This window comes from Homo sapiens, chromosome 9, assembly GCF_000001405.40.
Source record: "Homo sapiens chromosome 9, GRCh38.p14 Primary Assembly".
Taxonomy (NCBI): Eukaryota; Metazoa; Chordata; class Mammalia; order Primates; family Hominidae; genus Homo; species Homo sapiens.
In genome coordinates this window covers 125145372-125160256 of record NC_000009.12, presented here as the reverse complement: position 1 = coordinate 125160256, position 14885 = coordinate 125145372, and the positions used below count along the sequence as shown (strand labels likewise).

At 39.8% G+C, this 14885-nt stretch overlaps 1 protein-coding gene and 1 pseudogene across 7 annotated transcripts in view; one reads left to right on the top strand and one right to left on the bottom strand.

Moving 5' to 3' along the window:
- The window catches only part of PPP6C (protein phosphatase 6 catalytic subunit), a 43231-nt gene extending 29547 nt beyond the window's left edge, over positions 1-13684 (top strand). For all 7 annotated transcript variants that reach the window (NM_001123369.2, NM_002721.5, XM_047423566.1 and 4 more), the window contains 4 exons: positions 1875-2016; positions 6272-6351; positions 6515-6724; positions 10336-13684. In NM_001123369.2, the coding sequence (NP_001116841.1) occupies positions 1875-2016; positions 6272-6351; positions 6515-6724; positions 10336-10584 (681 nt within the window). In that variant the 3' untranslated portion in view covers positions 10585-13684. The remainder of the gene's footprint in view (positions 1-1874; positions 2017-6271; positions 6352-6514; positions 6725-10335) is intronic.
- PRPS1P2 (phosphoribosyl pyrophosphate synthetase 1 pseudogene 2) lies at positions 8470-9726 on the bottom strand (annotated as a pseudogene).

Here is a 14885-nt window from a genome sequence, read left to right as displayed (position 1 = left end):
CCAGAACCCCTGGTTTAAGGCAAAAATCTTCAATTGACTATTATTTATTCAGACTTTTCGAGCATTCATTTTTATCTCTCGTTAATCTATGGATGGATTAATATACACACATACACATTTGCTATAGATGTTTGCTTTTCTTTTGGAATGTAATGTTACTGTTGAACTTTTTCTGGATCCTTCTCTCATTTTCTTTCCTTCTGAAAGTTTCTGGGTCACTTTCTTATTTTTTTTTTTTGAGACGGAGTCTCTCTCTGTTGCCAGGCTGGAGTGCAGTGGTGCGATTGGCTTACTGCAACCTCTGCCTCTTGGGTTCAAGTGATTCTCTTGCCTCAGCCTCCCGAGTAGCTGGTATTACAGGCGTGCGCCACCACGCCCAGCTAATTTTTGTATTTTTAGTAGAGACAGGATTTCACTATGTTGGCCAGGATGGTCTGGATCTCTTGAACTCGTGATCCGCCCACCTCGGCCCCTGCCTTGGCCTCCCAAAGTGCTGGGATTACAGGGGTGAGCCACCACGCCGGCCACTTTCCTATTCTTTCAGCTGTTTTCCTATTGGTGTAATATTGGCCCAAGTCAGACATTAATGGGAAGTGTAAATAGTATATTATCATATATGGTTGTTAAATGCAAAACTGAGCCTAGAACGCTGTTATAATTATGGTATTTGCTTTTACAAAAAATTTTTTTCTTCAAGTAGGCAACTCTTCCAATACAGTTAAAATGATTCTTAAAATAAAAAATTATTTTACCTGGGCATGGTGGTACATGCCTGTAGTCCCAGCTACTTGGGAGGCTGAGGTGGGATGATTGTTTAAGCTCAGGAGTTCTAGACCAACCTGGGCAACATAGTGAGACCCCATCTCTAAAAAAAAAAAAAAATTGAATTTTTAAAAATTAAATTACTTGGCCGGGCGCAGTGGCTCACGCCTGTAATCCCAGCACTTTGGGAGGCCGAGGCAGGTGGATCACCTGAGGTCAGGAGTTTGAGACCAGCCTGACCAACATGGAGAAACCCCGTCTCTACTAAAAAAAAAAAAAAAATACAAAATTAGCCGGGCTTGGTGGTGCATGCCTGTAATCCCAGCTACTCAGGAAGCTGAGGTGGGAGAATCACTTGAATCCAGGAAGGGGAGGTTGCAGTGAGCCAAGATCACGCCATTGCACTCCAGCCTGGGCAACAAGAGTGAAACTCCATCTAAAAAAAAAAAAAAAAAAAACTTAAAAAATACTGGTTAGCAGATGACCAAATCAACTAATGTAGGTAATAGAGGATTGAAAAAATGGTGGTTTTGCCAGGTGTGGTGGCTCACATCTATAATCCCAGCACTTTGGGAGGCCAACGTGGGTGGATCACAAGGTCAGGAGTTTGAGACCAGCCTGACCAACCTGGTGAAACCCCCGTCTCTACAAAAAATACAAAAATCAGCCGGGTGTGGTGGCGGCTTGTACCTGTAATCCCAGCTACTCAGGAGTCTGAGGCAAGAGAATCGCTTGAACCCGGGAGGCGGAGGTTGCAGTGAACCGAGATTGTGCCACTGCACTCCAGCCTGGGTGACAGAGTGATACTGTCTCAAAAAAAGAAAAAAAAGAAAAAAAAATGGTGGTTTTTTTTTTCAGGGAAAGTTTTTGAGAGAATGGCACAGCAGATTCTTGTAGATTTCCCTGGAATCAAAAATCTTGTTTGTATAAACATTTAATAGAAAAAATTTGTTTACGTGTATTTTATTTTTTTGTTAAAATCAAATTTCCAAATAATTCAGTATGTAACTCTTTATTGTAGTTATAAACTATATGTTTGTACAGTTTGATATAATTTGAAAAGAATATTGTGGCTATTGTATTGTTTGTAACTGTAAACTTTTACTTCACAGGGTGATTTTGTAGACAGAGGTTACTATAGTTTGGAGACCTTCACTTACCTTCTTGCATTAAAGGCTAAATGGCCTGATCGTATTACACTTTTGCGAGGAAATCATGAGAGTAGACAGATAACACAGGTCTATGGATTTTATGGTAAGAATTCCTATTTCTCTGATTCTGAATATTATTTTACTTTCCTCTTTGGAAAACAAAGCTACACAAGTCATACACATGCTTTATGTATATTATTTTCCCCACATCCTCACTCCTTCACTCCTCCCAAACAATTGAAAATCTTATGCTCGAGAGAAGACCACTGTTAACTTTTTGGTGTGCATCTTTCTAGATCTGTGCCTCAAAGTGTAGCTGGAATCACCTGGGTTCTCATTAAAAATGTAGATTGCCGGCCGGGTGGGGTGGCTCACACCTGTAATCTCAGCACTTTGGGAGGCTGAGGCAGGCGGATCACAAGATCAGGAGATCGAGACCATCCTGACCAATATGGTGAAACCCCTTCTCTTCTAAAAATACAAAAATGAGCTGAGCGTGGTGGTGTGTGCATGTAATCCCAGTTACTCGGGAGGCTGAGGCAGGAGAATTGCTTGAACCAAGGAGTCAGAGTTTGTGGTGAGCCGAGATCATGCCACAGCACTCCAGCCTGGCGACATAGGGAGACTCCGTCTCAAAAAAAAAAAAACCAAAAAAAAAAGGAGAATGCTGGGCCTCACCACAGATTTATTAATCAAAATATTTTGGAGTGGGAATCTAGAATCTGCTGAAGGTGAATGTTCTGCACAAATTTGAGAGTCCATTCTCATCCATTTTGTATGTGTGTGTGTGTGTTTATGTGTGTTTATATATGTACAAACACGTGCACACTAAAATGGGGACATACCTGATTTTTTCACTTTATTAATGTTATTTTCATGGCTGCTTCATATACCATATGGATGTAGCATAATTGATGTATCAGTTTTTCCTCTATCGTTGGACTTTAGAGTTGTTTTTAAGCTGCTGTTATACATCCTTTTACATATATCTCTGTATGCTCACTCCAGAGAATGCTAGGACCTCAGGGATCAGAAGCAGAACTTAGTCATAAACAGCAAAATAGGCCAGGCGCAGTGGCTCACCCCTGTAATCCCAGCACTTTGGGAGGCCGAGGCGGGCGGATCACCTGAGGTCAGGAGTTCGAGACCAGCCTGGCCAACTAAACCCTGTCTCTACTAAAAATACAAAAATTAGCCGGGCACTGGTAGGGGGAGGGGGGAGGGATAGCGTTAGGAGACATACCTAATGTAAATGACGAGTTAATGGGTGCAGCACACCAACATGACACATGTATACATATGTAAAAGACCGACACGTTGTGCACATGTACCCTAGAACTTAAAGTTTAATAATAAAAAAAATTTAGCCGGGCATGGTGGTGGGGGCCTGTAATCCCAGCTACTCAGGAGACTGAGGCAGGGAGAATTGATTGAACCCAGGAGGTGGAGGTTGCAGTGAGCCAAGATCGCTCCATTCCACTCCAGCCTGGGCAACTGAGCCAGACTCTGTCTCAAGAAAGGAAAAAAAGCAAACTAGCTAATTCTTTAAAACTTTTATTTGGTTGAAAGAGAGAGAGAGAGAGAGAGAGAGAGAGAGAGCGAGCTTATTAGGAAGCCCCTTCAGGGAAATAGAACTGTCAAGATTATGAATTTGGATTTTCCTTGAGCACAATTAAGACAGATATTGAGAGATTTGGAAACATTAATTGCAGAACCCTTTAGATTTAAATTTTATATTTTGAATTATCTTCTTTCATTATAAAGATAGGCTGGGCCAGGTGTGGTGGCTCATGCCTGTAATCCCAGTACTTTGGGAGGCTGAGGCAGGCAGATCACAAGGTCAGGAGATCGAGACCATCTTGGCCAACATGGTGAAACCCCGTCTCTACTTAAAATACAAAAATTAGCTGGGCATGGTGGCACTTGCCTGTAGTCCCAGCTATTCGGGAGGCTGAGGCAGGAGAATCCCTTGAACCCGGGAGGTGGAGGTTGCAGTGAGCCGAGATTGCACCATTGCACTCCAGCCTGGATGACAGTGAGGCTGTCTCAAAACGAAACAAAGCAAAGATAATCTGAACTCTCTTACTCTTCAGTTTGTCTGCCATTATCAATTAGAGAAATTTTGAGAATTTATTGTTTTTATATAATTTTTTTAATACGTGTAAAGTTAGGTAATATTTATCTCCTTTCTACAGGTGACTTTTTATTTTCATTCACAAAATAAACACCAATTGAAATACAACTTTTGGATTCTTTTGCAAAATAATCAATATTTTGGATAACATACTATGATATTAGCTCAGTGAAAACAGTACTAAAACTAATGTTATAAAAACACACACACCTACTATATATATGTAACTAATGCTACATGTATAATATATAAAATACATATTGTTATATATGGCTAATATATGACTTTTTTTTTTTTTTTTTTTTGAGACGGAGTCTCGCTCTGTCACCCAGGCTGGAGTGCAGTGGTGCGATCTTCGCTCACTGCAAGCTCTGCCTACTGGGTTCACGCCATTCTCCTGCCTCCGCCTCCCAAGTAGCTGGGACTACAGGCGCCCGCCACCATGCCCGGCTAATTTTTTTGTATTTTTTAGTAGAGACAGGGTTTCACCGTGTTAGCCAGGATGGTCTCAATCTCCTGACCTTGTGATCCGCCCGCCTCGGCCTCCCAAAGTGCTGGGATTACAGGCATGAGGCACTGCGTCCAGCCATATGACATATGTTTTGAATAAGATAATTTTAGTTATTATAGGACTTATATTGATTTTCAAGGAATAAAATATCCCTATATGACTTTACACTGGGACTTCAGTTCACACTGATAAACACATACTGGGCAGTTACTATTGAGCCAAGTTCAAGATCCCTGCCTGCAACCTGAGCTCATTGTTAGGGCTCTCTTATGGCAAGTTTACATAACAATCTTGCTTCACGTAGATATATAATTGAGAAAATCTTGGGGATTGGTCATAACCTGCAGACTTCTTTCCTATATCATTTTCAGCTTCACTTAAGGCAATAGTGATATGTCAGGTTTTTTTTTTTCTAAAATTATGGAAGAAGCCAAAGTACAGAGCTTCCATGGTGTTAACAAAAGAAGTGTGTACCCTATTAACTATGTAGACAGTCAGGGTACAGTGGCTCACATCTGTATTCTCAGCACTGTGGGAGGCTGAGGTAGGAGGATTGCTTGAGCTCAGGAGTTCAAGACCAGCCTGGACAACATAGGGAGATCCCCATCTCTACCAGAAATAAAATTAGCCAGGTGTGGTGGCACTTGCCTGTAGTTCCAGCTGTTCAGAAGGCTGAGGTGGTGGGATCGCTTGAACCCAAGTGGTTGAGGTTGCAGTGAGCTGTGATCGCGCCACTGCTGATTGTGCCACTGTATTCCAACTTGGGCAATAGAGTGAGACCTTGTCTCAAAAACAAAAAACTACGTAGGCAGCAGAAAGAGTGTTCAACTGAGAATTTGTAAGAACCTGATTGGCAATCTGTCCTCAGTTTTGATCCACTGAAGCTCAAGTGTTTAGTCGCACGATTTGCAGAAAATCTCAGAAGAGACAACTTAGCCCTGAGAAGAGTTAGGAATTGCTCATGCTCCTATAACTAAGGATCCTCTAATTTGTTTGATCTGTTTATCCTGCTAGAATTGTCTCCTTAAATAAATTTATCTGCTTACCAGAATTGCCTAATATTAACATAACTGTTAAAACATTTGCTTCAGGTTGTGTGAAATTAGTATTTAACTCTTCTAATGATAGCATTTTGGCTAATAATTTCAGCTGCTTCTTAGGTCCATTCCAGGAATGAAGAGCAGTACTACATCCTTAGGAAATACAGTCATGTGCCACATAATGACATTTCAGTCGATGATGGACTGTATATATGACAGTGGTCCCATAGATAAAACGGAGCTGAAAAATTCCTATTGCACAAATACTTACCATTGTGTTACTATTTCCTTATGATATTTAGTACAGTTACATGCTGCACAAATTTATAGCCTATGAGCAATAGGCTATATCATATTGCCTAGGTGTGTAGTAGGCTAGACCATCTAGGTTTATGTAAGGACATCCGATGATGTTCACACAACGATGAAATCACCTAACAATGCATTTTTTAGAATGTATCCCCATGGTTAAGGGACATACAACTGTATGTAGTTAGTCACTAGCGTTCTTTTGGCTCTATGTGGAGGTCCTAGCAGGACTAAATATGTGTCATATCTTGCTATCCTAGTTTAAGCTGAATTTCTGTTGTACTGAAGGCTGCTCTAGTATTGGATATATTGTTTATTTTTATTAGCAGATTCATTAATTAAAACCCTTCTGTTTCTTTCACAGATGAGTGCCAAACCAAATATGGAAATGCTAATGCCTGGAGATACTGTACCAAAGTTTTTGACATGCTCACAGTAGCAGCTGTAAGTTTCTATTTTTAAAGTCTCATGTACGTTCCTGCCAATAACACATTGCATATTTTTATCTAGTTGTCATCTCAATTATATTGATATCTTTAGTATTCACTGATGAGTTTAGATATGCCTGAGGTTATATGTTCAACTCTTTGTTATCCTTTTTTGCTAGTTAATAGATGAGCAGATTTTGTGTGTCCATGGTGGTTTATCTCCTGATATCAAAACACTGGATCAAATTCGAACCATCGAACGGAATCAGGAAATTCCTCATAAAGGAGCATTTTGTGATCTGGTTTGGTCAGATCCTGAAGATGTGGATACCTGGGCTATCAGTCCCCGAGGAGCAGGTTGGCTTTTTGGAGCAAAGGTCACAAATGAGGTAAAGCCAACATTTTTGGAAATGTAATTTGTGGATTGCTAATGGGCTGCATAGAGAACTATGGTGGCCCTAGATAACAAACTTGTAGTCTAGCTTACTCAAAATATGGTGGCTGTGGATATTAAATTTCTAGTTTAGTTATTAACGTATGTCTTTCTTTAATGGTTAAATAAGATGACACAGTGAAAGCACCTACTCCAGCATCCATTTGGTAATAATGTATAAAGTAAATGTTCTTTCCTTTTTTTTTTGTTTTTGAGATGGAGTCTTGCTCTGTCGCCTAGGCTGGAGTGCAGTGGCGTGATCTTGGCTCACTGCAACAACCTCTGCCTCCCAGGTTCAAGCCATTCTCCTGCCTCAGCCTCCTGAGTAGCTGGGACCACAGGTGTGCGCCACCATGCCTGGCTAATTTTTGTATTCTTAGTAGAGATGGGATTTCACCGTGTTGGCTAGGCTGGTCTTGAACTCCTGACCTCAGGTGATCCACCCGCCTCAGCCTCCCAAAGTGCTGGGATTATAGGTGTGAGCCACCGCACCCGGCCAGCCCCTTTCCTTTCAAGTACTGTAGTTAAGTAACAAAATGGCAAGACCAAGATAGGCAATACTTTTTTTTTTTTTTCTCAAAGACCTCAAATCACACAGATACAGACACTTTATTAGTTTCCTCTACAAGAGACAATAACATGAATCTTTTTTTTTTTGAGACAAGAGTTTCGCTCATGTTGCCCAGGCTGGAGTACAATGGTGCAATCTCGGCTCACTGCAACCTCTGCCTCCTGGATTCAAGCGATTCTCCTGTCTCAGCCTCCCGAGTAGCTGGGATTACAGGTGTACACCACCACGCCTGGCTAATTTTGTATTTTTAGTAGAGACGGGGTTTCACCATGTTGGTGAGGCTGGTCTTGAACTCCTGACCTCAGGTCATCTGCCCACCTTGGTCTCCCAAGGTGCTGGGATTACAGGCGTGAGCCACCGCGCCCAGCCTACGTCAAATCTTTTTTTTCTTTTTAACAGAAATCTCTGTTCATTTGAAAAGCCAAATAGATCCAAAGAAAGAAGATGAAAATTAAATACTTAAATTAATCAAAAGGCACTATGATACCACCTAAAACCTACTGCCACAGTGGTAGTAGGCTAAGGAAGATCAAGCTACAGCAAATCATGTAATGTGAATGTTAGCGATTACATAGCAGGAAGCACATTTGCTTTCCAGAAGACTACGGTACAGTGTTCATTTGGGCCCAAGAGGATCTTTGGCCAGGAAAGGATCAAGATGGATGAAGGTAAAGCCAAATCAAAGGAGTAGGTACAAAAGAGAATCCAAGCTACATAGTCAAGCAGATGATGATGGATCAGGCTTCTTCCTCCCAAGAAACATTTGCTGCGCTGTGCTGCCTCCCCCCTCAACCACCCCCCACCCCCTACCCCATGGCTGCTCAAGCCCAACTGCCTACTCCTGCCTTACAGGGTGCTCAGCCACCGGGACTAGGTTTGGGGTTGCCCAGGGCTCTTGCCATAATTTAGCATAGACCTTGGGGAGAACTGCTCACACATGGGTTGGCTTTGCTGCTGGTTGTTCTCAACAAAGAAAACCCTGAAGCATTCACATGCAGAGTAGTCTGAGCTTCTCCAGTCACAGTCAAACACCCCCACACAACATCCTCAAAAGTCTGAAATCTTGTAACAGCTGAGCTATAGTTAAAGCTGCAAGGCTCACAGAATCATCAAGGAAGCCAGAATGAGACAATGCAGATAGGAAGTCCCAGCAGTTAATCTCAATCCTTCTTTCTTCATTTCGGATAAGCTCAGATATACCTGATGTGGGATATAGAAAGCTACACTGGAGCAAGCTGGGTCTTCTGCTGAATTCGTCATCAAATACCAAGGGAAAACAAGGGGTGGGGTGGATTTTATTCTTAAAAAGCCTCAGAAGTTACTGTATTATAAAGGGACATGACTGAATAGGTAAGAAACGGATTCTTCATTGTGAATTTTCCTGATGGCTTCTGCAAGGCTCATAGAGATGTTGATCACCTGTATTTTGGAATGGTGCTTCATCTTGTCCTCCTGGGGTATGTTATTGGTGACTACTACTGCTTTAAAGCATGCGTTGTTGATGTGAGAAATAGCTGGACCAGAGAAGATTCTGTGAGTCAAGATAGCATAAACTTTGGTGACTCCAGCTGAGAGAAGTTTGTCAGCTGCATGGCAGATTGTGCCACAAGTGTCAACCATGTCATCCGCAAGGATGGCCACCAGATCCTTCACATCTCCCACAAGCACCATGCGGTCGACTTCATTGGCCTTCTTTGTGAATCAAGGCAAAGTCCACATTCAGCCTGTCTGCAATGGAGGTCACTCTCTTAGCTCCACCAGCATCAGATGAAACAATAGTGCAGTTCTTCTGCTCAGAGATATTCTCCCTTATCCACTTCAGGACACCTGGCTCTGCATACAGATAGTCCACTGGGTTATCAAAAAAGCCCTGAATTTGAGAAGCATGTAGGTCCATGGTGATAATATGATCTGCGCCTGCCACAGATAGCATGTTTGCAACAAGCTTGGCTGAGATTGTCACCTGACTCTTTATTATCCTGCTGGGCATAAGGGAAGCATGGGATGACTGCAGTAAGCTGGCTCGCTGAAGCAGTCTTGCAGGTATTAGTCATGATCAAAGGCACCATTAAATTGTCATTGATTTTGCCACAACCACTCTGAATGATGTAGACATCCTTTCCACGTACACTTTTGCCAATTTCCACACAGGTCTCCTAGTTGCTGAATTTCTCAATCACTGCCTTGCCGAGCTCCAGGCCCAGGCGATCGGCAGTTTTCTGAGATAAGCCCTGGTGGGAGCTGCCGCTGAAGATTTTGATATTCAGGATCCTGGCCAACTACCCTAAGCACTCTTCACTAAGTGATCACTGCTGCTGCAGAGACTGCAACCAAAGTCGGCCCAGAGACTCAATACTAATCTCTTTGCGATGCTACTCCGCCATCTTCAAGATAGGCAGTACTTTGAACTTTCAACTGTTTTCAGTTAAAACACACACACACACTTTGAACTTTCAACTGTTTTCAATTAAAACACACACACACACACACACACACCCCTTATATTGGGAAGTGCTCCAGCATCATAATGAAGTCAAAAAACTAGATTCTGATCCTGCATCAGTGTATCTTAATTTAGATAAGTTATTTATCTAGTCTGAGCTTTTGTTTCCTTAAGTTGCAAAAGAATAATCTCTTTCAGAATTATTGCAACATCTACATATACTAAACCTTCAGTAAATGGTAGATACTGATAGCAATATCTTTATTATTAAATCAGAAAACACAAAATTTTGTTTCATAGTACCTATTGAATGCTTTTTCTTCCAGAAATTTCTAACTGTTTATGTAGCTGTACAGTTTCCATAGTTGTGCACTTGACTCAGGCCAAAATTGCTGTTTGCCTAAACTTATTAAATTGTTGGAGATAATTATAGAGTGCGTTCTATAATCTTGATGCCTTTAGTAGTAATAGGATTTGGTATTTTATTTAAATGATTATGTAGGCCGATTGTTTTTTAAGTGCTAAGTACTTACAGTGCCTTTCTAAATTGCAGTTTGTTCATATCAACAACTTAAAACTCATCTGCAGAGCACATCAACTAGTGCACGAAGGCTATAAATTTATGTTTGATGAGAAGCTGGTGACAGTATGGTCTGCTCCTAATTACTGCTATCGTTGTGGAAATATTGCTTCGATCATGGTCTTCAAAGATGTAAATACAAGAGAACCAAAGTTATTCCGGGCAGTTCCAGATTCAGAACGTGTTATTCCTCCCAGAACGACAACGCCATATTTCCTTTGAGGCCTTCGCCCATCCTGCTGACCCATTTTTCTGCCCTCTTCTTACCCCAATTTTCTTGTATTACCCTCTACAATATACTTTTTATTGAGCACTTTGCTGCTGAAATGCTGCCTCTTGCCTTTTTTTTTTTAAATTTTAAATTATCTAAATTTATTGTTTGTTGTGGTGTCTATAGCAAAGTTTTTCTATCAATTTTCCCCCATCCCATCCCCACCCTGGACTCATTTGAGAAGACTTGAGAAATGTCTTAATACTCACACTGCTGCATGTAGCTCTTGCTTATTTACTGGTCTGGGAAACAGGATGTGTTTCCTTTTTTTAAAAGCCAATTGACAGATTACACCTAAATACTCCTCCTTTTGTATCATTCAGCCTTTTGTTTTAGTTTGGTAAGTTTTAAGAAATTTCAGCAGCAAAGTTGTTATTCAGTGGGCACGATGGACTCCAAATGCCTCAAGTTATGTATACCTGTCCCAGATGTAAACTTCATTGTCCTTTGTTGGATGATATTTTAAATGGATATAAAATAAATTGGTCTAAAGGGCTGCCCTCCTTGTTGTGTTTTTAAATTTTAGTTAAAAACTGCTACAGCTTATGACTTTGTACTTTAAGATAATTGTATTGATCTTTTTTCAGATTCCTTGTATTTTTTAATAAAGTAATCTTAAATAAAACTCAGATAGGTTAAGTGTTAGAAATTTTAAACAGCTTACATTGTTAGCGTAAAGTTATCTTTTCTTTTTTCCTAATCAGAGTTCTTGACCCTTTGGTTATTGAGTTTAAAACTTCAATTGAAATTCAATAGTATTTATTTTTGAAAAAAATCACTAAACTGTGCCTAAAGAACATAACTGCCATATTAATGTTTTGGTTTATATCCTCTATAGTAATAGAAAAACATTTAATACTTGTAATGCTGATGTGTTAATTTGATACCAGTTGAGTAGAATGTGATCAATCCAGTTTACAATCTATCATGAGTATTATTAACTAAAATCTATGTGCTTTTCAATAGGAATCATTCTTCTCTTGCTGTAACACTTGACCTTAACTTTTAGAAAGTGTTCATTTTTAAACTGCAACTGGAAAGGTTGAAAAGTTAGGACTCTTGTATTTGTGAACTGTAATCTGAAGCAGATTATTTAAAGTGTAGAAAAAGAAACAAGTTCTTCTTTTTTGCAAAGGTCTGTGATACCATATTTCAGCTTTGTGTAAGTAATTTGAATATCCAAAGGGTTGTGATGATCAGTTCTGAATATGCAACTGTCCACTTAATAAGGACAAGTATTCCAGTATCTCTTATGACTGTAGTCATAAATGATGTTGGAATGTACATTTTGTGAAATAGTTGGTATCCCTTTACTATGATTAATTTTTGTTATTCCAGGAAATACTTGTGAAGCCAGCCAATTAATAAAGCACTTTAGCATCTGTTCAGGTAGTTTTGAAAACCCACTTTTCCCCTTCAGGATAAGAACTTCCAGGTTACCTAAAAATGCAATAAAAATCTTTATAGTCTAAGCTTCTTGGCATATAATTTTTCATCAGGGTTTTCTTTTATTAATTGAGCACAATACTGTTTTGATTTAATTTTTTTCCCTCAAACCACCCAGCTCCTTACATAGTTTTTAATTATATAGCTATATGAAAGAGGTGGCTAAGACATTTGCTGCACACACTTGAACTAATGTTGGGTCAGTAGCTTCGTGTTACTGCCCTGATCCCAGTGTAATTCAGGTGGAAAGGTATTTTTATCTCACAGGGATATGTAGCTATGTATTTTACTAATTGTGAAACACTGGAAATTAATGATGCAGACAACTTGGTGTGGTCTTTGAACAGCTCTCTGCAGTATTTTTTTTTTTCCTGTTACCATAAATTGTATTTAAGTGCTTGCTTTCCACTTAAGTTGTACTAATAGAACCGGTAACTCCCAGCCCTCCCTGTTTGACACTCCTTAGCTTAGATTGATGTAGTTGTTTTTGTTATCCCTATAATGTGACTTTTATTTTTAAGTCATTGTGTACTGCATTTGTTTGTCACTAGTTGGGCACGTGCCAATAATATTCTCTCCATTCCTTATCTGCCATCTCTGTTTTGCCTGATTTCTCTTCAACTGAATAATGGCTTTTTGCATGGAAAAAATAGTTTTTACTATTAGACGTGTAAAGGGAAGAGAGAGCTAATGTATTGGACTTTGTGAGCCTACAAGGAATATTTTGGATCCCTCCAATAAATAAGGGCTATGTACTATATGTACTATATAGAGTTATCATGTGGTGGAAGATACTTGCAAGTCATAGATTTATGGGCAGGAGGATTTGTTACTCCCTATATCTAGGCTGAATGTAAAATCCCTTATGTTGTATCAATGGGGGTAAAAACTATTTTTATTTGCCTATGATATACTTGGTTTCTAATAAAGTGCCCTAGGCTCTAGTGAGAACTGTCTACTTTGAATTGCCATTTACTCCCTTTCCTCCTTTGGCCGATATGCTCTTGGCTAGCTTTTTATAAGTTAATGTGTTTCCCCAAAAAGTTTCACTACTTTATATTCATTTGAGTGTGATCCTAAAACACCTGGATCAACAGTACATCTCATATGCAATCTGCATCAGCTCCTATTCTGTCTGGATGTCTAGAACTGTTGGAAGATTTTGACGTCTTAAGCCCTAGGTTTTGCTTTGGGAAATAAGGTTTGAAATATTGTTCATTGCATTAAGATTTGTGTGTGTGTGCTTTGTAAGCCCAGAACCAGGTTTTGGAAAATGCCTGTACTGTGAAAGCAAATTAGGACTCTTTCTGAGCCTCTTTCATTGTCAGAAATAGAATCACTTTCCATCAGCTTCCAGGAAATTGTGTATCTGGAGTCGAAGAGATTTGACATCAAGAATCCAGATTTTTAAATGTAATTGTTTTTTAAATGCTAATGTTTGTAAAGCACCTTCAGTTCTTCGGATGAAAGGTGCTATATTCCCTCAGTGTAAATTAATAAAAAGATTACAGGAAGTTTGTCAAAAAATTCAATGCATAGTCTGTAGTATGTCCTGACAAGAAGTTAGCATTTTATATAAGAAATTAAAAAATGCTTATTCCTCCACTTGGTTGCTTGACTGGTGAACAAAAGTGAAACCTTTTTTTTTTTGTTTTGCATTTGACTCTGAGCTAAGTGTTCCAACTCTTTAAAGGCAATGTTTATTGTTACAACCTCGATCCAGTGCCCAGAACTATGCTTCATGAGATCATCACAACTCTTTAAATTGTATATTTACAGTGTGTAGTGATGCTGACGAAATACACGGTAGTAAACCAAAAAGAAACATTTGGAAAGTCCCCTAGCATGATGCCAGACACACTAGATGCTTGGGGAAGGTTGGTTCTGCATTCCCCTCCTGTTTTCTATTTCCGTATCAATTTATTGGTGAATTTGTGCCCTCATGAGAGTAGGCTTATGCTGGCTTAGATCATTCAAATGTTTTCTTAATTCAAAAATGCATGACATTTATAGATTTGTGTTGTCAACAAAAATACTACATAAGTATATTCCACTCAATCCCTAGGCACCCACTATGCTCAGCAGCACTGTGCTTTTGTATATAAATGGTGGGTTATAAAAGACTGCATGGAGGCATTATGGAATAGCACAGGCTTTGGGATCAGATCTGGGTGAAAACCCCAGCTCTGTCATGCAGTAATAGCAACTAACCTGTATACAGCATATGTGCTAAATTGTTATGTTCTCTATTTTGTGATGCCCTTGCTGTATGGGTCTATGACTATATTACCTTTTATTTTTTTTTTTTCTTGGTAGAGATGGGGTCTCCCTATGTTGCCCGGGCTAGTCTTGAACTCCCGGCTGAAGAGATCCTCCTATCTCGGCCTTCCAAAGCACTGGGATTACAAGCATAAGCTACTGTGCCCAGCCCAAACTTCAAAAAAATTAATAAATCTTGTTCATCCTTCTCTAGAACTTTTCTCCCCCTAGATGAGGAAATAGGCTTAGAGAGGATAGGTGACTTGTCTAACGTTGCACAAGAGAGCTGGAACTTGAATCCCTAGAGGGCACACCAGAGTATTTCTTTAGCGCTCTATTTTAAGCAATATTGGTTATTGTAGTTGTGTGACCCTGAACAGATTGAATTTTCTGAATCTTAAGTTTCTGTGTCTAAAATAAGAGAATATCAGGCAGGGTTAATCTCACTATTAAAAATAGCACACACAAAGCACCCAGTATCTGGTCCAAAGCTGCCTTTTATTAAGGGCTCATACTCATAGGCCATTTGTTCAAATTCATTGTAGTT